Source organism: Homo sapiens, chromosome 4 (genome assembly GCF_000001405.40).
Source record: "Homo sapiens chromosome 4, GRCh38.p14 Primary Assembly".
Lineage (NCBI taxonomy): Eukaryota > Metazoa > Chordata > Mammalia > Primates > Hominidae > Homo > Homo sapiens.
In genome coordinates, this window is record NC_000004.12 from 49,037,942 (window position 1) to 49,064,230 (window position 26,289).

At 38.0% G+C, this 26,289-nt stretch overlaps 1 protein-coding gene across 7 annotated transcripts in view; it reads left to right on the forward strand.

Annotated features, from left to right (window-relative positions):
- Positions 1 to 24,138, forward strand: part of CWH43 (cell wall biogenesis 43 C-terminal homolog) — a 75,805-nt gene extending 51,667 nt beyond the window's left edge. For all 7 annotated transcript variants that reach the window (XM_011513755.2, NM_025087.3, XM_011513758.2 and 4 more), the window contains 4 exons: positions 95 to 239; positions 6,845 to 6,906; positions 12,753 to 12,908; positions 23,871 to 24,138. In XM_011513755.2, coding sequence (XP_011512057.1) covers positions 95 to 239; positions 6,845 to 6,906; positions 12,753 to 12,908; positions 23,871 to 23,949 — 442 coding nt within the window. In that variant the 3' untranslated portion in view covers positions 23,950 to 24,138. The remainder of the gene's footprint in view (positions 1 to 94; positions 240 to 6,844; positions 6,907 to 12,752; positions 12,909 to 23,870) is intronic.
- Positions 24,139 to 26,289: the final 2,151 nt, after the last annotated feature.

Consider the following 26,289-nt stretch of genomic DNA (forward strand, 5'->3'; position numbering starts at 1 on the left):
TATATGCAGATAGTCTTTGGCAACTTAGGTACCTAAGGCTTTTTAAAGTTTGTTTTACAAATACAATAAAGGGTCATATTTTTACATTTTTTAGAGATGACCTCGACAGGAAACTGCAGGCTATTGCTGTTTCAAAACTACTGAAAAGTAGCTCTAATCAAGTGATATTTCTGGGATATATCACTTCAGCACCTGGCTCCAGAGATTATCTACAGCTCACTGAACATGGCAATGTGAAGGTAACATAATCTTAATAGGATTTCTAATTTATTAAGTAAAACATTTCTTTTTCTTTCATGTTTTTAAAAAAACCAACCTCACCTAAAAATTTCATGTGCAGTCTATCTACTGCTGCCTAGAAAATCACCACAAAACATGTGAGCTTAAAACAACAGCAATCATCTATTTGCTCATGAATCTCCAATGTGGACAGGGCTCAATGGGGGTAGCTCATCTCTGTTCCATGCAGGGTCAACTAGGTGTCTCAACCAAGGACTGGAGGATCTACTTCATAGGTGATTTATAGGTCGCAAGTTGTGCTTTAGGCTTGGGACCCTGGTTCCTCGCCATGGGCTACTTAGGCTTCCTCCCTGCATGGTGCTGGCTTTCAATAGTGAAAATCCCAAGAGAACCAGAAAAAATCTGTTTTGCTTTGTATGGCATAGCCTTGTAAGTCATATACTGTTACTTCCACTGTCATCACAATTCTGATCACATTAAATTCTTGATGGGAGGAATATCAAAAACACAAGATAAGAATACTAATGGAAAGTGAGATTTTGTTGTAGCCATGTTTAGAAAACACAATCTGCCACATTATGAAAGTTAATTATGGGGCTGGGTGCGGTGGCTCACGCCTGTAATAACAGCACTTTGGGAGGCTGAGGCGGGCGGATCACGAGGTCAGGAGATCGAGACCATCCTGGTTAACATGGTGAAACCCCGTCTCTACTAAAAATACAAAAAATTAGCCGGGCATGGTGGCAGGTGCCTGTAGTCCCAGCTACTCGGGAGGCTGAGGCAGGAGAATGGCAGGAATCTGAGACGTAGAGCTTGCAGTGAGCTGAGATCGCACCACTACACTCCAGCCTGGGTGACAGAGCGAGACTCTGTCTCAAAAAAATATATAAATAAATTAAATAAATAAATAAATAAATAATAAATAAATAAAAATTAAAAAAAGAATTGAGAGTAAAACAAAATGAAATGCCACACAGAGAGAATGGCTAATTAGCCAACAGGGCCCCAGCAGATGACACTGAATTACTCTACCTTTTCAGGTCTGAAACACTTGAATTTGTCAGTGTACCAGAATATAATCATGTTCTGGGGAACTGCCACACAAATCAAATTCTCAGGAGACTGATATATATATATATATATATATATATACTGATGTATATATATACTGATATATATATACTGATGTATATATATACTGATATATATATACACACTGATATATATATATACTGATATATATATACACTTATATATATATATATATACTATAATGCCAAATGAATTAATTTAGAATGAGAAATATGATTGTTATGTTTAGTTATGCCCTATGCAGATGTCTTGGTCCCTTTCATTCCATTTTCAACTTCATGTCTTGAGATAATATCTGCAGAGAAAAAATCTTATCCGTCTTATGTTGATTTTACTACTTTAACTCTTCTTAGGGTGTAACATTATTTACAGAGTTTGGATGACAGGTTAAAGAGCATGGCATGATGAGAATTTTCTGCATGTGACAGAAAATAACAGAGAGTGTATTTCTTTTTTTTTCTGATTTTTTTAAAATTTTATTATTATTATACTTTAAGTTTTAGGGTACATGTGCACAATGTGCAGGTTTGTTACATATGTATACATGTGCCATGTTGGTATGCTGCACCCATTAACTCGTCATTTAACATTAGGTATATCTCCTAATGCTATCCCTCCCCCGTCCCCACACCCCACAACAGTCTCCAGAGTGTGATGTTCCCCTTCCTGTGTCCATGTGTTCTCATTGTTCAGTTCCCACCAATGAGTGAGAACATGCGGTGTTTGGTTTTTTCTCCTTGCGATAGTTTGCTGAGAATGATGGTTTCCAGTTTCATCCATGTCCCTACAAAGGACATGAATTCATCATTTTTTATGGCTGCATAGTATTCCATGGTGTATATGTGCCACATTTTCTTAATCCAGTCTATCATTGTTGGACATTTGGGTTGGTTCCAAGTCTTTGCTATTGTGAATAGTGCCGCAATAAACATACGTGTGCATGTGTCTTAATAGCAGCATGATTTATAATCCTTTGGGTATATACCCAGTAATGGGGTGGCTGGGTCAAATGGTATTTCTAGTTCTAGATTCCTGAGGAATCGCCACACTGACTTCCACAATGGTTGAACTAGTTTACAGTCCCACCAACAGTGTAAAAGTGTTCCTATTTCTCCACATCCTCTCCAGCACCTGTCGTTTCCTGACTTTTTAATGATAGCCATTCTAACTGGTGTGAGATGGTATCTCATTGTGGTTTTGATTTGCATTTCTCTGATGGCCAGTGATGAGCATTTTTTCATGTGTCTTTTGGCTGCATAAATGTCTTCTTTTGAGAAGTGTCTGTTCATATCCTTGGCCCACTTTTTGATGGGGTTGTTTGTTTTTTTCTTGTAAATTTGTTTGAGTTCATTGTAGATTCTGGATATTAGCCCTTTGTCAGATGAGTAGGTTTTGAAAATTTTCTCCCATTCTGTAGGTTGCCTGTTCACTCTGATGGTAGTTTCCTTTGCTGTGCAGAAGCTCTTTAGTTTAATTAGATCCCATTTGTCAATTTTGGCTTTTGTTGCCATTGCTTTTGGTGTTTTAGACATGAAGTCCTTGCCCATGCCTATGTCCTGAATGGTATTGCCTAGGTTTTCTTCTAGGGTTTTTATGGTTTTAGGTCTAACATTGAAGTCTTTAATCCATCTTGAATTAATTTTTGTATAAGATGTAAGGAAGGGATCCAGTTTCAGCTTTCTGCATATGGTTAGCCAGTTTTCCCAGCACCATTTATTAAACAGGGAATCCTTTCCCCATGGCTTGTTTTTGTCAGGTTTGTCAAAGATCAGATAGTTGTAAATATGTGGCATTATTTCTGAGGGCTCTGTTCTCTTCCATTGATCTATATCTCTGTTTTGGTACCAGTACCATGCTGTTTTGGTTACTGTAGCCTTGTAGTATAGTTTGAAGTCAGGTAGCATGATGCTTCCAGCTTTGTTCTTTTGGCTTAGGATTGACTTGGCAATGCGGGCTCTTTTTTGGTTCCATATGAACTTTAAAGTAGTTTTTTCCAATTCTGTGAAGAAAGTCATTGGTAGCCTGATGGGGATGACATTGAATGTATAAATTACCTTGGGCAGTGTGGCCATTTTCACGATATTGATTCTTCCTACCCATGAGCATGGAATGTTCTTCCATTTGTTTGTATCCTCTTTTATTTCCTTGAGCAGTGGTTTGTAGTTCTCCTTGAAGAGGTCCTTCACATCCCTTGTAAGTTGGATTCCTAAGTATTTTATTCTCTTTGAAGCAATTGTGAATGGGAGTTCACTCATGATTTGGCTCTCTGTTTGTCTATTATTGGTGTATAAGAATGCTTGTGGTTTTTGTACATTGATTTTGTATCCTGAGACTTTGCTGAAGTTGCTCATCCGCTTAAGGAGATGTATTTCTTTATGTAAAAGTGTGGGCAGGTGAATCAGCACTGGAATGGCACTGTGTGGTGTTTGGAATCTGTGTTCTACCTTGTGGTTCCATTTGACAAGGACTCTGTTCCCAAACCAGCAGCCTTTAAGTTCTAGTTAGCAGGATAGAGGAAGGGATAAAGAAGGGGCCAAGAGCATATGCCAGTTCCTCTGAAGGCAAGTCCCAGAAACTGATCTGTAACACTTCTACTTATATTTCACTGGCAGAAATTTAGTCTAATGGCCATACTTTGCTGTACAGAAAGTTGAGAGGTGCAATGTTTAGTCCTGATGGCCATATTCACAGCTAAAATACCATAATTTTGGAAGAAGGGTAAGGCAGATATTAGGAAGATGAGTTAGTCTCTGCATTTTTTGGATAGACAGAAATTAGAGTGTTAAAACAACAGCCGTCATCTATTTGCTCATGAATCTGGACTTCAGACAGGGCTCAATGGGGATAGTTCATGTCTGCTCCATGCAGGATCAGCTAGGAGGCTCAACTAGGGACTGGAGGACCTACTCAGTAGATGAGTCACAGGTGGCAAATTGGTGCTTTGGGCTGTGGACCCGGGTTCCTCACCATGGGCTACTTGGGCCTCCTCTCTGCCTTGCAGCTGATTTCCAATAGTGAGTATCCCAAGAGAACAAGAAAAAGCCTGTATTGCCTTGTATAACTTAGCCTTGGAGCCACAGATGGATCCCTGATTTCTGGGTCTGGTCAGAGGGATTATGATACTGACATTTATTTTTATAGAGAATACAAAAGAAAGAAATGTTTTACAAGGAAGATGAGTTCAGCTTTGGGCTGAGTTTGAGGCATTTGTGGGACATTAATGGAGATGTCCAATAGGCAGGTGCATATACAGATCTGGAATCCAGAAGGGCAGTGAGAACTAGAGTTATAGATTAAGGAGTGGCCACCATGTAGGGAAGCGTTGAAGCCATGGAAGTGAGTGGTATTGCTAGTAATTAGAGAAGTGCAAATTAGAGTGCTAGAGTTAGAGAAGTGCAGAAGGAAGACCAAATAAAGCCCTGATGAAGTCACATTGAATGTGGCTATCATGGGGGTGTAGGTGAAGGAAGAGAAGACAGATTATTTCAGGAAAGGGAGTAAGGAGATTTCAGAAGAGGAAAACCTGGAAAGTGTGTAATCACAGAGACTGTATCAGTTATTTATCACTGTGTAACAAACCACCTCAAAACGTAGTGGCTTAAAACAGTAATAATTGAATATTCTCATGATTCTTTGGGTTGACTGGGTGGATTTCTGTTCTTGCCTGGGTTCTCCTATGCAGTCATCTGATGGCTTACTTATGGCAGGAGGGTCTAAGATAGCCCCACACAGGCGTCTGGGCCCTGGTGCTGGACCTCTCTCTCTTCTCATGGTCTGTCATTATTTACTAGCCTAGATGATGCTGCATTTACCAGCTGTGTGACCTTGGGGAAAGTTACTTAGCCTTTCTGGGCCTCAAGTTCCACATCTGCAAAGTGGTGAGAGTGATATCTATGGAATCATAGGGTTGTTTGATGATGAAATAGAAGATAACATCTGCAAAGCCCTCAGACTTACATGACATATATTATGTGTGTCTGGCTGTATGTTGAAAATCAAATAAGAGAAACGCGTAAGTACATGGTCTATGAAGCACAAACGAATATTAGACAAGATGAAATTTGGCAAGTCTATGTAAAAATGGCATCCTAATAGGGCATTCTTATATGGTGTGTGTGCATGTGCACGTGAGTGTGTGTGAGGGATGTACATGGTATTAAGGAAGGAGAATTTGATTTGATTTTCATCTAATCCTCTCTTGGTTTCCACTGTCGTGATCAAAAGCTGTGTCAAAATTGGTAGTGGATTCTTATATTGCTTTCTCTAGGAGGAAGTTTATTAATGTGGAGAAGAGTTTTAATCATCAATGCTTGGATGAACAGATTTTTCTCTTAAAGAAATGAGTATTTAAATTCTGCAGTCTTAAAACTTTATAGCATCTTTATTTTTAAAATTTTTTTGCAAGTCTTACAGCATCTTTAAAAAATCTGATAAACAAAATGATAGTTAAATAGATTTATTTATCATTTATTTATCTATTTAATTATTCCCAATACTAAAGTTTTCTATTTTCCCAAGACAAACCGGAACAGTGCTTCTTTATTTCCTTCATCAACATTTTAAATTTAATTTAAAACATTTATTATAATTTTTATGTATACAAAAGGTATATGTATGTGTGTATTATAAACAACAATAAAGATTAATAGACATCCATGTGTCTACCACTAAGCTTAAGAAAAAAATGAAGAATTATATAATAAATTGTGATGTATTCTTTTAGTGATCTAAAAATGTGTTTTTAATTAAATGTTAATAGTAAAATTCAGAAGTGGTGAAAAGTCAGGTATATTTTTTATTTATAAGATATTTAAACAGAATAAAATGGAGATTTCTTTCTTCAGAATAAACACCTCATATTTATAGTTTTCCCAACACATGATAGAAAAGAATATGTTTCTGTTCTCTTTCTTTGATGAATAATAACCCTGGTCCCAAGCCCTCAACATCAAAAAGACTCATGATTGCTCCCCAGATGTTCTTATTTCCATGATTCAATTTAAGAAACACAGATGGAACACCTGCTCAATGCCAGGTTTTATGCTAAGTGACAGGTTGGACAAAAGTGATTAAGATTCCCTCTGTGCAGGTGTGGGAGGATGGAGACATAGAAACAGATACCTGGCACGATGGCATAACTAGTGTGTGTAAAGTACTGTACAGGATGACCAATGAAGGTGCAGTCAGTGCTGCTGGGGATGAGAGACTTGGAAAGCTGCCAGGAGTCAGGGGCTATTTTGTAATCGTTGATTTATCTGAGTCACTCTCCAGACCTCCTTCCTCTTTGTTTTCTTAGCATGTGGTACAGAAGCTAGATAGGCGCACAGTAGGTGCTCAATAAATATATGTAGAATGAGCAAATAATTTGGACCAAAAAAGATCAGTAGGAGCCAGGAAGAGAAAACAGCATGTACAAAGAGATATTTATCATGTAGCTCACACATTTTTTGGCAATGTGGAATAGAGCTTTGCTTTTTATGCTTTAAACATTCTCCTCTCTGCTCTTTATTAGGATATCGACAGCACTGATCATGACAGATGGTGTGAATACATTATGTATCGAGGGCTGATCAGGTGAGCACAGGGGTTTGATTTTGTTTTTAATCTATTATTAATGTGATCTTTTGGGTCTGTCTGAGAAGGAAAAAGAACTTTATGGAAGCAATTAATTTTTGTTGCTTTTTATAAAAAGCAATCAATGTTTATAAACATTGATTTGACTATACAGTTTAACATCTTTTTCAAGGCATAGTCTCATAATTTACAAAAGTAGAAATAGCTAAGCAAATTAAGTTTAATTATATAAGAGGGTACTGTGTAGGCTATTAGGCATGGTGAATATGTAGCTGTCAACACATGGGAGGAATGGCACCATTTTTGAATGTATGGGTTAGTGGAAACATCACAGGCCATTGGATGAGAAAGTCCTGGGCTTGAGTTCCAGCCTTGCCAGCTTCTAATCAATAATCCTGGGTAAGTTAACTAATTTGATGGGGCCATTACTATACTGTAGTGAGCTCTATAGGTAAATTGTATTTAAAAAATATCATTCCACATAAAAATATTACCCGAGTATATCACATACATGCGTATGTGTGTGTATGATATACTTGGATAATACATATTTGGATACATAGAGTCATGTGCTGCTTAATGATATTTTTGTTCAATAACAGACCACATCTACAATGGTAGTTGATAAGATTATAATATCATACTTTTATTGTACCTTTTCTATGTTTAGATACACAAATACTTACCATGGTGTTACAGTTGTCTACAATATTCAGTACAGTTACATGCAGTACAGGTTTGTAGCCTAGGAGCAATAGGCCATACCATATAGCTTAGGTGTGTAGTAGGCTATACCATCCAGGCTTGTGTAAGTATGCACTATGATGTCCACACAATGACAAAATCGCCTTATGACACATTTCTTTCTTTTTTTTAAATATATTTTTATTTTTTAAATCGACACATAATAATTGTACACATTTATTGGGGGGGTACAATGTGGTATTCCAATACTTGTATGTATACTGATCAAATCATTATAATTTGCATATCAATTACCTTAAACATTTATCATTTCTTTGTTGTAAGAATATTCAAAATCCTCTTTTCTATTTGAAATATATAGTACATTGTTGTAACCTACTGTGAATAGAATATAAGAACTTATTCCTCCTAACTGTAACATTGTACCCATTGACTAACATCTCCCCATCTCTCCCTTCTCCCTGTTCTCCCCCATTGCTGGTAACCACTATTCTACTCTCAACTTCTTTTTTATTTGTTTATTTATTTATTTATTATTATTATACTGTAAGTTTTAGGGTACATGTGCACAATCTACATTTCTTAGAATGCATTCTTGTTGTTAAGTGACACATGACTGTATACATACATATGTGATCCAAAATAATACAGCTGAGATTTTAAAATTCAAATATGTAGCTGTATAAATCAGTTTTGAAGGCAGTATTTGTATCAATAAAGCAAGGAACAGTTTAATGCCAAAAAAGAGGGACTAACCATTCATTCATTCATTCATTCATTCATTCATTTATCCAATAAGTGTTTACTAAATCCTCTTTATGTACTGGGTGTTGTTCTCGGGAGTGGGAATATAATAGGAAAAAAACAAAATCCTTGACTGTGGTAGAACTTACATCGCAGTGGAAGGAAACATAAAATAAGCAGATAAGAAATGACAAGCTATGACAGGTGGAGATATGCATGATGAAAGAAAAATAATAAATCCAGGTGAGAAGGCAGGGTGTGTGGGGGTGGCTGTGGTAGGTTATAAAAAGTGGGTGAGGAATGATGGAGTGAAATCTTGGCAGCACCTCAAGTGGAAGGAGGGACCCCACCTGTGCATACCCTGAGGAAGAGCACTTCAGGCAGGGGAGGCGGGGAAAGTTTGAGAGGAGGATGCTGGATGTTGCGGGGTAAGAGCAAGGAGGCCAGTGTCGCTGGAGTAGAGTGAGAGAAGTGATGTGAGTATGGCAGGTGGTGGTAGATGATGTACACAGTGAGTTGATTCACAGGTTCCTCTACATACAAAGTTCTTCCACAGAGGGAACATGCTGGAGACCTTCCCTGAAACACTCAAGGGTTCTCCTGTTAGGACAGAATCTGTCTGGAGGTATTTGACCTGAGCCCTCTAACTGCCATCTTGGGGACAATGTGGGGAGCCCTGGTGTGGGCTCCTAGGACTGACTTCCCTGAGCCTTAGTCTTTTCTCCATATAGAGCAGTTCATCACCAAAAGGCATCTTGGCATTGCCTGCCTGAAGATAGGGGCCGACGTTAATGGATCTCTTTAAGTAACCTTATCTTCTAAGATCTGTGGCCTACATTTATGAGAGAAAATGGTTGCTTTCTGGGATGATATAGAATCATGGATTCAACTCCTCTCCCAGTGGGGATATGGCTTGTTTGGTTATGAATTATAGTCCAGTGAAAGCAAATTGTTAGTTTCTCTTGCTCTAGACTCCATTTGCCATTCAACAAGTATCGATCTAGCAGAATGGATGCCAGGCAATAGGGATAAAGCTGTAAACAAAACAGAGAAGGATCTCTATGCTGGTGGAGGGAGGATGGACAAAAATCATGATAAATAATTGCAGGATGATCTATTTTAGAAGATGATGAGAGTGGTGGGAAAAACTAAGCAGGGGAAGGAGCTTCCAGAATATGGAGGTGGGGTGCAATTGTAAGTAGGGAGCTGGGTAGGTCTTACTAAGAAGATGACATTTCAGCCAAGATTGGAAGGAGGGAGCCATTTGGCCACCTGGCAGAAGATACCTCCTGGTAGAGGGCTGAGCTAGTGCAAAAGCCCCAGTGCAGGAGTGCTGCATATGTTTGAGGAAAAGTGAGGTTAGTGGGGCTGGAGAGGGTTGGGGTGGAGTGGGGTGAGGGGCGGCCGAGGAGGGAAGGAGAGAGTGTGTGGGCAGGCAGGGAAGAGAACAGATCTTGTAAGGATCTAGGGATCCTTAGCAAGCACTTTGGACATTATTAAGTAAAATAGTGACCTTACTCGTTCTTGGACAACTCCATGGAGCCATATGCTTACTGAGGTGGGCCAAGGAGGCCCTTGAGATGCTAAGATTGTTTTGGTTTACACCACTAACTCAGAAACTCTAAAAGGAGCATCACATGCCCAAATAGCTGTGGAACAGATAGCTTGACTATAATTTGGTGTTTCCAAAGTGTTACGGTAGGAGAGAAGGTGCTGAAGGGTGAGTTTTGTTAAGTATTTTATATCTAAGATTGAAAACACTGTTTCTGTTTAAATATTTGTTAAAGCAATTGTTTAAATGAGATATCGGAAATTCTAGAAAACGACTTTTCATATAGGCTGAAATAGGTTTAATTTCAAGTTTTAAAAAATGTTGGGAACCAAGGAACAGTGGTATTTATAGTAACTGGTACCCATAATAGCTCATTGTTGGGCTCTGAAACCTTTATTACCTCTCCTTAGGAGAATGGGATGGCAGAGTTTATATATATATACACACTCTGTGTGTGTATATATATATACACTCTGTGTGTATCACTCTGTGTGTATATATATATACACTCTGTATATATATACACACACATACATGTACATATAAAGTATATATATAAAATATGATATCATATATATATTTATTTATGTATGAATTTAATACTCTGTGACATAACAAAATACCATAGACTTGGTGGTCTAAACAACAGAAATTAATTTTCTTGCAGTTCTGTAGATTCTAAGACCAAGATTAAGGTACCAGCAGGGTTGGTGTCTGGTTAGGACTGTCCCCTTGGGTTGCCGATAACTGCCTTCTTGCCATGTGCCCACATGGCCTTTCCTTGGGTTGTGCCTGCAGAGAGAGAGTGAGCTCTCTGGTGTCTCTTCTTATAAAGCCATTAATCCTTTAGGATCAGGCCCCCCCTGCACTTATGACCTCATTTAACCTTAATTATTTCCTTAGAAGATATGTCTCCAAATATGGCCACACTGGGGGTTAGAGCTTCAACAAATGAATTTTGGGGGGAACACAAAATAGGAAGGTAATTTTAAAAATTCCCACATTAATGAAGTTAGGAACTAGGGTTTTTCAGTTTCTGTCCACAAAACTAATTTTGTAAGCCTTCATCTCAATCACCAAATTCAATGCCCTACATGTAGTAGGTATTAGGTGCTTAATAAATACTTATTGGACAACAATGGGAGATCCTCTGTTTTAATGGAAGATTTGGATTGTCAGATTCTTCAGTTTCAAGGCTTTTGGTGTATTTTTGAAGGCAGTGTCTGTTAAATGGGTCAGAACTTTGATCTTAGAGATTTGGGAATAAATAACCTAGATTTGCTAAAGACAGTGACCTAGAATTACACAGAAGTGCACAGATTTAGGACTTGAGCCCAGACAATGCATTAAGCTGTCTGACAGCTCAGAGTCACATCTGATGTTCAGTCACAGCTCTACTTACCTTTCCCAATGGGCAGACTTGCTGCTTCTGCTGGTCCTGCTCTGGGTTTCTGTTTCTATTTTGCATGGAGTTACAGGCATAGGCTTTGTTTTAAGTTTTTCTCTTCTCCTGCCACTCAGGTCCAAGCCCCCATCATCTTTTACCTAAGTTATTGCAGTGGCCTCATAACTTGTCTCCCTGCTTTGACCCTTTCCCTGAAGGTGATTCTCTACCTGGTAGCTGTCACAGACCTCTGCTTCAAACCCCTCTGATGGATTCTTATCTCACTCTAAAAAAAAAAACAGCAACAACAACAACAACAGCAACAACAACAACAAACTGAGGTCTTCATAGTGGCCTGTGAGGAAGGCTTTGCATGTTCCCTCTTATGCACTTCACTCCGGTCATGGTGGAGTTGGCCCGCAAAACACCAAGCATATTTCCACCTCAGGACCTTTGCATTTGTGGTTCCCCTTCCCTAAACACCATTCCTCCAGTATCTGTATGGCTTGATCCCTCCCTTCGTTGAATTTTTTGCTATAGTGTCACTTTATTGCAGAGGTATGCCCTGACCATCCACCATAATATAGCAACCTCTCCTACTCATCACTGCCTGTCCTTCTTACACTGCATTCACCCCAGTGCTTACTTATCTATCACTACCTGACTTATTGTAAACATACATATGTGTTTAATGCATCCTTCCCTACTAGAATGAAAGTTCCATGAGGGCAAGGACTTCATTTTATTCACGACTTATTCCCCAACACCCAGAACAGTGCCTGCATGTAGTAGGCACTCCATATATATACATATGTGCTTCATTGAATAAATGAATGACTGAAGCTGACCTAAGTCTTTTTTTCTGGAAGAGCACAATGTAATAAAATAAAATGAATTCTTTGTTGTTCATGGTTCCCCGTGTTTTCCACGAGCTTCTCAAATAAGAACTCTTTGCATAATGTCTACAAAGTGCATTGAATTTCCCCAGGAATTGAAAGCTCTAAGCCAAAACGGGATATGGAATTTTTTCAGATATATAAAATCTTTGATTTCAGACTTGAAAGTAGGCTGAAAATATGCATGTGGCATTTGGATTTTTAAAGGTAAGAAAGAAGGTGAACACCCCTGTCATTCTGAAGAGTTCCTGTTATTAACTCAAAACATGATTGTGTGGGAGGCAATTTGTATGGCTAGAATATTCATTAGTATAAAAAAAGTAAAGTAAGGTTGCTAAGAATAGTTACTTAATTAAATCTATGTACATATTCTTTATTCATTTATATCATAAAAGCAATATTTTGCCAATATTTAGATTAACAATTTAAGTTAATTCCAGTTGTGATATACAGAGTAGAGTTAGAAGTGGGAAACTGGTTTAATAACAAAGGGGTATCACTTGGATCTCGTTAGATTTCTATACAATAATAAAACTGTTACAAACCATTTCTGTTTCTGCTACAGGTTGGGTTATGCAAGAATCTCCCATGCTGAACTGAGTGATTCAGAAATTCAGATGGCAAAATTTAGGATCCCTGATGACCCCACTAATTATAGAGACAACCAGAAAGTGGTCATAGACCACAGAGAAGTTTCTGAGAAAATTCATTTTAATCCCAGGTGAGTTCCTTTATGCTGTAGTTCCAGTTATGAGCTACTGCATCCCTCTATGGAACCTACATATTACCTCAAAATGAGCTAGAAATTATATTTTGTCCTAGAGGTTTATTCCAGGTAAGGGAGACTGTGACAAAGATGATAAAATCTGGTTTGGGTTGAAGTTACGGTGCTTGCTTTCTGGAATCAAGAAATATGTTGTAACCTCAGGTTAAAAAAGTTCACAGCATCATCATCATCATTATCATCATGAACATCATCACCATCATCATCACTGTCACCTCCACGATAGCTAGTATTTGAATGCTCCTATGTCCCAGACCCTGTTATAGGTGCTTTTTGTGTTGTCTCAATTAATCCTTATTGGTTGGTCCTCTTATTATCCCCTTTTAATAGATGAGGAAGCTCAAGCTTAAGAACATGAAGTAACTTCACTGGGGTCACATGGCTAGTGAGTGATGGAACTAATAAGTGGGGAGACAGCCTATTAGCATCGTTGGGTTGCTGGTATTCTCAGCTCTGGCTGCACATTAGATTCACCTGGACAGCTTTTAAAAAATACCACTGCCTGGGCCCCACCCCAGACCAATTTATCAGGACCTCCTGGGGTGGTATCTGGGCTGTGGAATTTAAAAAATTATTTCCAGGTTATTCTAATGTGCAGTTAGGATTGAGACTGTGGATGATGGATAATTCATTTACATCACATGTGAAAAATTCATTACCATGTGAAATACAATTTTTTTTTGAGATGGAGTCTTGCTCTGTCACCCAGGCTGGAGTGCAGTGGCATGATCTCAGCTCACTGCAACCTCTGCCTCCTGGGTTAAAGCAATTCTCCTGTCTCAGCCTCCTGAGTAGCTGGGACTACAGGTGCACGCCCTGATGCCTGGCTAATTTTTGTATTTTTAGTAAAGACAGGGTTTCACTATATTGGTCAGGCTGGTCTCGAAAGCCTGACCTCAGGTGACCCACCTGCCTCTGCCTCCCAAAGGGCTGGGATTACAGGTGTGAGCCACCGTGCCCGGCCTTGTTTTGTTTTTAAAAGAGAAATCTATTTGCAGCAAAACATATGAGTTGGAGTATGTGCTCTTTTCTCTCCCATGACTGGATAATGAGAGGAAACTTCTACATAAAGCCAAAGACAGAACATATCGTATACATTATTATTATTTGACATTTCTACCGCTTTTACCAGCTAATAAACATTTCTCATTTTTTTGGGGGAAAAAAGAAATTTCTCCATTCTCTTTTTCTTCTTTGTCCCTCCTTACAACAAGAAAAAATTGTACCAAAGTGTAGGTGATGAATATGAGGAGAGTTATCACCAAGTCTAGATTTGTTCCAATTCCTGTATTGATCTTGCCCTGTGTAAGTGTAATGTGACTAGGAAACCGCGGGCCTTAGGGTCATCTGTCTGGTTCAAATCCTCACTCTTGCCAGTGAACAGCTTGGTAACTGTGGGCCAGTTGCTTAACCTCTCTGAGCCTCAAGTGCCTCATCTAAAAATGGGAAAAATAGTAGTGGCTACTTCCTAAGGCTATGTGAGGTATGAATGGCACAAAAAGTTTTTAGAATAGTGCATAGTGAGTGCTTATTGTTTAACAGTAGCTGCAATAGCAACATTAGTATTTGCAGTAGTAATGGTAGAAGTAAAATAGAAGGATTCCCTCCTTTTGCTGATTGAGATGGTTTCTTAAATGGAAGCTAAAAAATCAGAGAAGAAAAGGATTTTCTTGTGTCGTTATTCTTCACATAGCAGGAGTGCGGAGAAATCCAAATAAAATATTTTTGGCTAACCACAACTGCAGATTGATCCAAACCAACTGTGAAGGGAGCTAGATTTGCTTTCCCACTCAGTTTAATTACGAAAATAGTAAAGGCATAAATAGAAGGCATGCCTTAATTTTAAAACTGTGATGAGAATATTTAAGCAATTTTCAAATATACAAGTAATATTAATCACACCTTAGCAATTTTCACATATACAATACATTATTATTAACTATAGTCACAATGCTTTACAATAGATCTCCAGAAATTTTTCATCCTGTCTAATTGAAACTTTGTATCATTTCACCAACATCTTCTCAACCCTCATCTCCCCCAGCCCCTGCCAACCACCATTCTACTCTTTGCTTCCATGAGTTCAATTTTTTCAGATTCTACATATAAATGAGATAATGAAGTATTTACCTTTCTGTGCCTGGATTACTTCACTTAGCATGATGTCCTCTAGGTTCATCCATGTTGTTGCAAATGACAAGATTTCCTCTTTTCAGGCTGAATACTATTCCATACATATGTATGTTTGTGTATAGCTGCATTTTCTTTATCCATTCATCTGTCAATGGGCACTTAGGTTAATTATATTTCTTGGCTATAGTGAAAAATGCTGCAGTGAATGTAGGAGTACAGATATTTCTTCAACATTAATTTCTTTCCTTTGGATGTATACCAAGAAGTGGGATTGCTGGATCATATGGTAGTTCTATTTTTAATTTTTAAAGGAACTTTGGTAATGTTTTCCATAATATGGCTATACTAATTTACATTCCCACAACAGTGAACAAGGGTTCCTTTTGCTGTACATCTCCTGCCAGCATTTGCTGTCTTTTGCCTTTTTGGTACTAGCCATTTTAACAGGTGTGAGGTAATGTCTCATTGCGCTTTTAATTTGTATTTCTTTGATTAGTGATGAGCATTTCTTCACATACTAGCTGGCCACTTGGATGTCTTCTTTTGAGAAATATTTTTCATGTCCTTTGCTCATTTAAAAAAATCAGTTTGCTTTCTTGCTATTAAGTTTTTTGAGTTCCCTATATGTTTTGGATATTAGCCGTTTATCATATATAGGTTGAACATCTCAAGTAAAAAAATCCAAAATCTGAAATGCTCCAAAATTCAAAACTTTTTGAGCACTGACACAGTGCTCTAAGGAAATGCTTGGGGCATTTCAGATTTTGTACTTTTGGATTTGGGATGCTCAAACAGTAAGTATAATGCAAATATTCCAAAAATGAATCCAAAATCTGAAATACTTCTGGTCCCAGTGATTTTGGATAAAGAATACTCAACCTATATAGTTTGTAAATATATTCTCTCATCCCATAGGTTGTCTCTTCAGTCTGTTGATTGTTTTCTTTGCTATATAGAAGCTTGTTAGTTCGATAGAATCCCATTTGTCTATTTTTGCTATTGTTTCCTGTGCTTTAGGGATCATATTTAAAAAATCATTGCCCAGACCAATGTTGAAGGTTTTTCTTGATGTTTTCTTCTAGTAGTTTCACAGTTTCAAGCCCAAAAATCTTTAATCTATTTTGAGTTGATTTTTGTATATGGTATGAGGTAAGAGTCCAATTTCAGTCTTCTGCATGTGGATACCCAGTTCCCCCAACATTGCTTATTGAAAAGGTTGTCCTTTCCCCATTGTGTGTTTGGGGTACCTTTGTCAAAGATCAATTGACTGTAAATGTGTGGATTTATTTCTAGGCTCTCTATTCTGTTCTATTGATCTATATATCTGTTTTTATGCCAGTACCATACTGTTTTAATTACTACAGGTTTGTAGTGTATTTTGGAATCTGGTAGCGTGATGCCTCCAGCTTTGTTCTTTTTGCTCGTGATTGCTTAGGCTGCTTGAGGTGTTTTGTGGTCTTATACAAATTTTAGGGTTGATTTTTCTATTCCTGTGAAAAATGTCATTGGAATTTTGATAAGGATTACATTGAATCTGCAGATTGCTTTTGGTAGTATGAATATTTTAACAATATTGATTATTCCAATTCATGAACACCAGATGTGTTTCCATTAATTTGTGGTCTTCAATTTCTTTCATCATTATTTTGTGGTTTTCAGTGTACAGGTGTTTCACCTCCTTGGTTAAATTTATTCCTAAGTATTTTTTGATGCTATTGTAAATGGGATTGTTTTCTTGATTTCTTTTTCAGATAGTTCATTGGTAGTACATAGAAATGCTACTGATTTTTGTATGCCGCTTTTGTATCCTGCAAATTTACTGAATTTATTAATTCTAACAGTTTTTCAGTTTTTTTCAGTGGAGTTTTTAGGGATATATATATATATATAATCATGTCACCTGCAAATAGGGACAATTTAACTTTTTCCTTTCCAATTTAGATGTATTTTATTCCTTTTACTTGCTTAATTGCTCTAGCTAGGACTTTCAGTACTGTGTTGAATAGAAGTGCTGAGAGTGGGCATCCTTCTCTTGATCCTGATCCCAGAGAAAAAGCTTTCAACTTTTAATCACTGAGTATGATGTTAGCTGTGGGTTGTCATATATGGCCTTTGTTATGATGAGGTCTATTTCTGCTATGCCTAATTTGTTGAGAGTTTTTATCATGAAAAGATGTTGAATTTTTCAGATGCTTTTTCTGCATCTATTGAGATGATCATATGATTTTTGTCTTTTACCCTGTTAATACATTGTATCATATTTATTGATTTGCATATATTTAACTATCCTTGCATCCCAAGGAAAAATCCCCCTTGATCAGGGTGTATGATCCTTTTAAGGTACTGTTGAATTCAGTTTGCAGGTATTTTGTTAAGGATTTTCTACATGTGTGTTCATTAGGGATATTGGCTTATCATTTTCTTGTAGCATCCTTGTCTGGCTTTGGTATCAGGCTAATAATGGCCTCATAAACTGAATTTGCAGGTGTTCCCTCCTCTTCAATTATGAAAGAGTTTGAGAAGGATGGGCATTAATTTTTCTTTCATTTTTTTTTTTTTTTGAGATAGAGTCTCACTCTTGTCACCCATGCTGGAATGCAATGGCACGATCTCAGCTTACTGCAACTTCCACCTCCCAGGTTGAAGCAATTCTCCTGCCTCAGCCTCCTGAGTAGCTGCGATTATAGGCGCCTACCACCACACCCAGCTAATTTTTGTACTTTTGGTAGAGATAGGGTTTCGCCATGTTGGCCAGGCTGGTCTTTGGTCTTGAACTCCTGACCTCAGGTGATCTGCCTGCCTTGGCCTCCCAAGGTGCTGGGATTACAGGCATGAGCCACTATGGTCAATCTAATTTTTCTTTTTTTCTTTTTTTTTTTTTTATTATACTCTAAGTTTTAGGGTACATGTGCACATTGTGCAGGTTAGTTACATATGTATACATGTGCCATGCTGGTGCGCTGCACCCACTACTGTGTCATCTAGCATTAGGTATATCTCCCAATGCTATCCCTCCCCCCTCCCCCGACCCCACCACAGTCCCCAGAGTGTGATATTCCCCTTCCTGTGTCCATGTGATCTCATTGTTCAATTCCCACCTATGAGTGAGAATATGCGGTGTTTGGTTTTTTGTTCTTGCGATAGTTTACTGAGAATGATGGTTTCCAATTTCATCCATGTCCCTACAAAGGATATGAACTCATCATTTTTCTTTAGATGTTTTGTAGAATTCACCAGTGAGGCAATTGGGTCTGGGCTTTTTGCTTCTGAGGAGGATTTTGATTACCAGTTCAATTTTCTTATGCATTATTGAACTGTTCAGATTTTGAATTTCTTCATGAGTCAGTCTTGGTAGATTGTTACTATGAACTGGTCCATTTCTTTCTTTTAGGCTATCCAATTTTTTGGCATATTATTGCTCATAGTAGTCACTTATGATTATTTGTGTTTCTGTGGTATCAGTTGTAACATCTCCACACTGATTTATAATTTTATTAATTTGATTTTCTCTTTTTTTCTTAGTAAGTCTAGCTAACACTTTATCCATTTTATCTTTTCAAAAAACCAACTCTTAGTTTCATATTTTTTTTTATTTTTCTATCATCTATTTCATTATTTTTTTCTCTAATATTTATTATTTACTTCCTTTTGTTGACTTCAGGCTTTGTTCTTTTTCTACTCCCACAGGTATAAAGTTAGGTTGTTTGATGTCTTTATTTTTTCTTAAGGTAGGTGTTTATTGCTACAAAATTCCCTTTTAAAACCGTGTTTGCTACATCCTGTAAGTTTTGGTACATTGTGTTTCCATTTTTATTTGTCTCAACATAATTTAAATCTTTCCTTTTGATTTCTTCTTTGATCCATTGTCTGTTTAGGAAAGTTTTGTTTAATTTCTACATATTTGTGAATTTTCCAATTTTCCTCTTATTAATTTATAATTTAACTATTGTTGTTGGAAAGGCTACTCAAAATGATTTCAGTATTCTTGAATTTGTTAAGGCTTGTTTTGTGGCCTAACATAAGATTTGTCCTGGAGAATGTTCCATGAACATGTGAACCCCCAAAATCTGAGACAGTTCTCAGTCAATTTAGGAAGTTTATTTTGCCAAAGTTAAGGATGCACACCTGTGACACAGCCTCAGGAGGTCCTGACGACATGTGCCTAAGGTGGTCAGAGTACAGCTTGGTTTTATATATTTTAGGGAGACATGAGACATCAATCAACATACATAAGATGAACATTGGTTCAGTCCGGGAAGGCAGGACAACTGGAAGCAAAGGCAGGACATCTCGAAGCAGAAAGGAGGCTTTCAGTTCATATGTAAGAGACAAATGGTTGCATTCTTTTGAGTTTCTGATTAGCCTCTCTGAAAGAGGCAGTAAATATGCATTTATCTCAGTGAGCAGAGGGATGACTTCAAATAGAATGGGAGGCAGGTTTGCCCTAAGCGGTTCCCAGCTTGACTTTTCCCTCTAGCTTAGTGATTTTGGGGTCCCAAGATTTATTTTCCTTTCATTTGCACTTGAAAAGAATGTATACTCTGCGGCTGTTGGGTGAAATGCTCTCTATGTATGTTAGGTCGATTTGGTCTATAGTGTTGTTCAAGTCTACTGTTTCCTTGTTGATTTTCTATTTGAATGATTTATCCATTGTTGGAAGTGGGTTATTGGAGTCCCCTACTACTATTGTATTGCTGTCTAGTTCTCCCTTCAGTTCTGTTAATATTTTCTTCATATATTTAGGTGCTCTGATGGTGGGTGCACATATATTTATAATTATTATATTATATTGATGAATTGAGCACTTTAGTATAATGACCTTCTTTGTCTCTTCTGACAGTTTTTGACTTAAAGTCTACTTTGTCTAAGTAGAGCCATCCCACATCTCTTTTGGTTATCATTTGCATGGAATATCTTTCCAAACCTTCGCTTTCAGTCTATGTATATCCTCAAAGCTAAAGTGAGTTTTTTTTATAGGCAGCAATTTCTTATAACTTATTTTTTTCACTCTGTCTTTTGATTAGAGAATTTAATCCATTTACATTTAAAGTAATTACTGATAGTTAAGGACTTAGTATTGCCATTTAAAGAATTGTTTTCTGACTGTTTTACAGTTCCTTCATTCTATTCTTCCTCTTTTCCCTTATGATTTGATGAGTTTTTTGGTAACAGTATGCTTTGATTGCTTTCTCTTTATCATCTGTGTATCTACTATAGGTTTTTTATTTGTAGATACTATGAGTCTTACATAAAACATAACTATTTATTTTAAGCTGAAAACAACTTTGTCTGCTGCATATAAAAACTGAGATTTAGCTTTTCCTCCCACTACATTTTATGTTATTGATGTCACAATTCATGTATTTTATATATCATGTACCCATTAACAAATTTTTGTAGATATAGTTATTTTAATATTTATCTTTTAACTTTTACACTGGAGTTAAAAATGATGCTGCATCAGCATTAAAGTATTAATGTTTTCTGAATTTGATTCTATTATTACCTTTACAATAAGTTTTATACTTTCATATGTGTTCACATTTTTAATGTCCTTTCATTTCAACTTGAAAAACTCCCATTAGCATTTCTCATAAAGTGCATCTAATGATGATGAACTCCTGCAGCTTTTGTCTCTTTGGGAAAGTCCTTACCTTTCCTTGTCCCTGAAGGACAGCCTTGCTACATAGTATTCTTGGTAGGCAGTTGCTTTCTTTTAGCACTTTGAATACATCATCTCAATTTCTTTTGGCCTGCAAGGTTTCTACTGAGAAACACACTGATAGTCTTATAGGTGTTCCCTTGAATGTTTTTTCTCTTTGCTTTTCTCTTGTTGCCTGCAAAATTTTCTTTTTGTCTTTGATTTTTGAAAATTTGATTATAATGTGTCTTGGTAGCACTCTCTTTATATTTAATATATTTGGGAGTTATTTGGGCTTCATGGATCTGCATGTGAATCTTCCTCTCCAAATTTGGAAAGTTCAGCTGCTTTTTTTAAAATAAGCTTTCTCTCCCTTTTTCCTTCTTTCTCTGCTTCTTCTGAAACACCAATAAGGTTTACTTAATGATGACCTATAATTTCTGTAGGCTATCTCCACTTTTTCATTCTTTTTTCTATGACTCTGGTTGGGTAATTTTGAATGACCAGACTTTGAGCTCTCTGATTGTTCTCCTTGATTGAGTCTGCTGTTGAATCTCTTTATTGAATTTTTCAGTTTAGTTATGATGTTCCTTAGCTCTAGAATTTCTGTTTGGTTCTTTTTTGTGATTTCTATCTCTTTATTGAACTTTTCATTCTGTTTATGTACTCTTTTTTCTTATTTTGTTTAGTTGTCCATCTGTGTTCTCTTGTAGCTCACTTAGCTTCAAGATGATTATTTTGAATTTTTCATTATGCTGTTTTTCATTAGCATCAGTTACTTGTGCTTTATTTGTTCCTTTGGTAGTATCATGTTTCCTTGATTATTTATGATCTTTATGGACATGCCCTGGTATCTGTACATTTGAAAAAGTGGGCATCTCTTCTAGTCTTTACAGATTGGCTTGGCAGGGAATGCCTTTACCAGTTGGCTGGTCCAAAGATTCTCAGTGGGCTATCTAGCTGGGCTCATGGGTGGACTTATGCTAGAGTTCTTGGGCCAACTTGCTTGGTGCCTGGATCAGCAAGTGGATAGGCTTTGTGCCTGGGTCTCTGGGGGCCAGCCTGGTGCTGGGGTCCATTGGGATGGGCCTGGAGCCTGTGTCAATAGGGACTGGACTTGAAGTCTGGGTCCATGAGAGCCAACCTGATTCCTGGGGTAGATGTGTGGGGTTAGGCCTTCAGCCTGAGTCTGCAGGAGCCACCCTGGTGCTGGAATGAACCTGGTGCCTGGATCCATTGGGATAGATCTGGAACCTGGGCCCATGGAGCCTAGGCCTCCTATGTTAAACTCAGTGCTGGGGTCTCCTCCATAGGTGTCCTATGGGCCTGTACTCTGGAATTGGTGGAGCAGGCCTAGATTCTGTTACCTGGGCTGCAGGGACTGGTCTGGAGCTCGGGTGGGTTAAAGCCTGGGTTCACAGGGCCAGTCTAGAACCTGGAACTGGCAATGCTGTCCTGGTGCCTGGGGTTATAAGGGGTGGCCTGGAGCTGGTTGCATAGGGGCCAGCCTAGCACCAGGTTGGGCTTGGAGCCTGGGTCTGTGGGTATTGCTCTGGAGGCCAGGTCCATGGGCACTGGAGTCAGGGACCACAGGGCTGGCCTGGAGCTGGGGTAGGCATAAAGGCTGGGTCCATGTGTTCTGGCCTGGAATCTGGGGCTTTTGGGGGTGGCCCGAAACTGATGCCAGTCTGGAGCCTTGGGTGGGGATGGAGCCTGAATTTGCTAGGGCCGGCTTAGGGACTGGGGTTGTTGGGGCTGGCCTGGTGTTTAGGTGGGCCTGGAAGCTTGGTCTGTGGGTGCCAGCCTGGTGCCAATGTTCATTGGCCTGGACCTGGTGCTGGAGTCTGTGGCAAAGTTGGGTGCTTACTTCACTCATTTTACCCTATGCAGAGAGTATCTATCTCTCTACTTACTATGCTACCTAGTCTTGGGGGAGGAGTGATAGAAGTAATGTGAAGTTGTCCTTCTTACCCTTCTCAATGAGACTTTTCTTATTTCTCTAATACATTCAAATGCTATAATCTCTCATCTGAAATCTTTAGCTCTTGTGAAGATATTTTTGTGCATGGATAGTTGTTCAAATGGATGTTTCTACAGGGACAAGCACTGGAAAGTCCTATTTTGCCATCTTGCTGACACAACTCTTATATATATCTATACATCACACAATTATCCTTCTTTTGTAAATGTATGACACATATATGTATGTGCGTATATCTGTGTGTATATGTGTGTTTTTGTTCTATTTGCTAATCTGATTCTTTCATCCAAATAGTATATTATGAACTTCATTCCATAATAAAGTATTCTTCTTAAAATATGTTTTAATCATTGCATAATATTTCATTGTATGGATGCACCAACATTTAGCTAATCGATTTTGTTATTTTTGCATATTTATTATTTTATTATTATAAAAAGTCTTCTAAGGAATTCTTATCTGTTTGAGCATAACCTTGATTACTTCCTTAGGGTCTAGCTCTAGAAGTGAAATAGCAGAATCAAAGGTGATGTTAAATTTGATATTCCTTGTTATTATTCTTTTAAGATGACAAAGGAAGCAGGTCTCCTGTCTCTTACATTATAGAGGTTAGATATTATGGTTGCTTATGAAGAAAAGGAAGGAAGTGGCCTCTTATGTGCAAGTCTTAGCTTTCTTCCTAGTGTCTTTTGTATTCTATCATATCAACCAGAGCTGTATAATTAAATAGTTATTCATGTGCAAAGAGTTAATCTGCAGCACATTAACACATGTAGACAATTTAGAAGTTCTGCCAAAATAGATTTTTATATGCATAAATGTAACATGAATAGCATTTCAGGCTTAATGGCCCCTTTGCCTATAAGAGAATATTATTCAAACTCAAGATGAAAGAGAAAATCTGGACTTATTTTTCAGCAATGCTAGCCAATAATTCTTAAACAGATGTGCTTTTGGAATTATCCATAACCATGGAAAGAGGACTTTGGGGGTTAAAATTTTAGTTTGCCTTTCCTATATGCATGAATCTTTTTTATTTATTCATTTGCTATTTTATTTTATGATTGAAATTTTACATAAGAACATACCTTTCTGAATGGTTTTTACATGCCAATAACTTTTTATTTATTTTTTATTTTTTTAGATTTGGATCCTACAAAGAAGGACACAATTATGAAAACAACCATCATTTTCATATGAATACTCCCAAATACTTTTTATGAAACATTTAAAACAAGAAGTTATTGGCTGGGAAAATCTAAGAAAAAAAGTATGTAAGATAAAAAGAAGAGATTAATGAAAGTGGGAAAATACACATGAAGAACCTCAACTTAAAAAACACATGGTATCTATGCAGTGGGAAATTACCTCCATTTGTAAACTATGTTGCTTAATAAAAACATTTCTCTAAATTGTTTTCCCTAAATTTTGATAAAAAATAGAATTTGGGGTAATATAAGAAAGTTTCACTATGGAGTTAAAATAATTAAAAATGTCTTACCTTTTGAAGGCTTAGAAATAGGAAATTTTTTTTGTTTGTTTGTTTTCTTTTTTGAGACAAAGTCTCTCTCAGTTGCCAAGGCAAAGTACAGTGGTTTGATCGCTGCTCACTGCCACCTTGATCTTTAAGGCTTAAAAATAGGATTTTTTTTTCTTTTTTGAGACAGGATCTCTCTCAGTTGCCCAGGCCAAAGTGCAGTGGGGTGATCATGCTCACTGTAGCCTTGATCTCTTGGGCTCAGGTGATCTTCCCACCTCAGCCTTTGGAGTATCTGTGACTATAGGTGCTTGCTACAATGGCTAGCTAATTGTTTACTTTTTTGTAGGGAAGAGGTTTCACTATGTTTCCCAAACTGGTCTCAAACTTCAGGGCTCAAGCAATCCTCCCACCAGCCTCCCAGACTGCTGGGATTACAAGCTTGAGTCACTGCACCCAGCTGGACATTGATTTGTGGATGAGCTGGAAGGACTACTTGTGAAAATCAAGCACTTTAAACCCTTCTTGGGACAAAGCTGGGGAAAATGTTCAACAAATTAAGTCTAATTACTAGAAGAATAATGTGCATGTGACTATTATTGACTTAACATAAGCAGCAGCCCATCACCAACCTTCCCTGAACTGTGAGGGGTCGTCTGTCTTTTTCCCCATGCTTCTGTCACTTCATGGCTGTACATGGCACACTGTGTTGATGCCTCCCATCAGTCAGGCCACCAGACTCTCAGCAAGCATACCTTAACACACAGAGGGGTCCCATGAAGTGACTTTCCTTCTGTAGAATCAAGTAGGCAGGCAAAGGGGAAAATTCAACACAACAGCACCATCTCCACAGAAGATAATGATTTGAATATAGGTCATAGAGGCACATGAGGTCTTAGAACTGGAAAGGACACTGAATGCTGCTTTATCTTTTGGGGGCAGGGATAAAAGTTGTCAGAAAGAAAGTTTCTAAAAGTATTATGTCACAATCTAAGGAGATTCCTTAGATCTATTTAACAAAATTGTATCATACTAGTCTGTTCTCATGCTGCTATAAAGAATTGCCCAAGACTGGATCGTTTATAAAGGAAAGAGGTTTAATTGACTCACAGTTCCACAGGGCTGGGGAGGCCTCAGGGCACTTACAATCATGGTGAAAGGGGAAGCAAACACATCCTTCTTCAAATGGTGGCAGGAAGGAGAAGTGCTGAGCAAAAAGGGAAAAGTCCCTTATGAAACCATCAGATCTCATGAGAACTCACTCACTATCATGAGAACAGCATGTGGGTGACCTCCTCCATGACTCAATTACATCTCACCAGGTCCCTCTCATGACACATGGGGATTATGGGAGCTACAATTCAAGATGAAATTTGACTGGGGACACATCCAAACTCCAAACGATATCATATACTGAACACATTGCCATATGCAAAACACTGAATTCCTATAGTAGTTTTAAAGATGAGTCCGTGAATGATCCTGCAGTTTCTTCAAAAGGTGGAACCTCACTCACTTCTCTTTTAGTATGGGCTAGATTTAGTGACTTACTTCTAATGAAGAGAATAAAGTGAAAGCGATGGTATGTGACTCCAAGTCTGGGTTATAAACAATACTGGGGCTTTGTCTTAATCTCACTGTCTGCTTCTGAGAGAAGCCAGCTGCTGTGTCATGAGCAGCCCCTTGGAAAGGTGGTGAGAACTGAGGCCTCGTGCCAATAGCCATGGGAGTGAGTCACCTTAGATTTGGAAACTCCAGCCCCAGAAAAACTACAGATGACTTCAGCCCCATGTTGGCTACAACTTCTTGAGAGATCCTGAGCCCTAAGCACCTAGCTTAACTGGTCCCACATCTTGACAGATAATAACCATTTGTTGTTTTAAGCCACTATGTAATGGGGTAATTTGTTTTGTATCAATACATAAGTAACACAGTCCTTAAACTTACTTATATTTGAAAAACTTTGGGAATCTGGGAACAACAAACATATTTATTCAGTGTCCGTTTTGTCCATTATACTGTACTAGGCATGTGGCAGTGGTGGGAGGTGTCACTTAACTGAAAAAGACATTAACCTAAACACAAG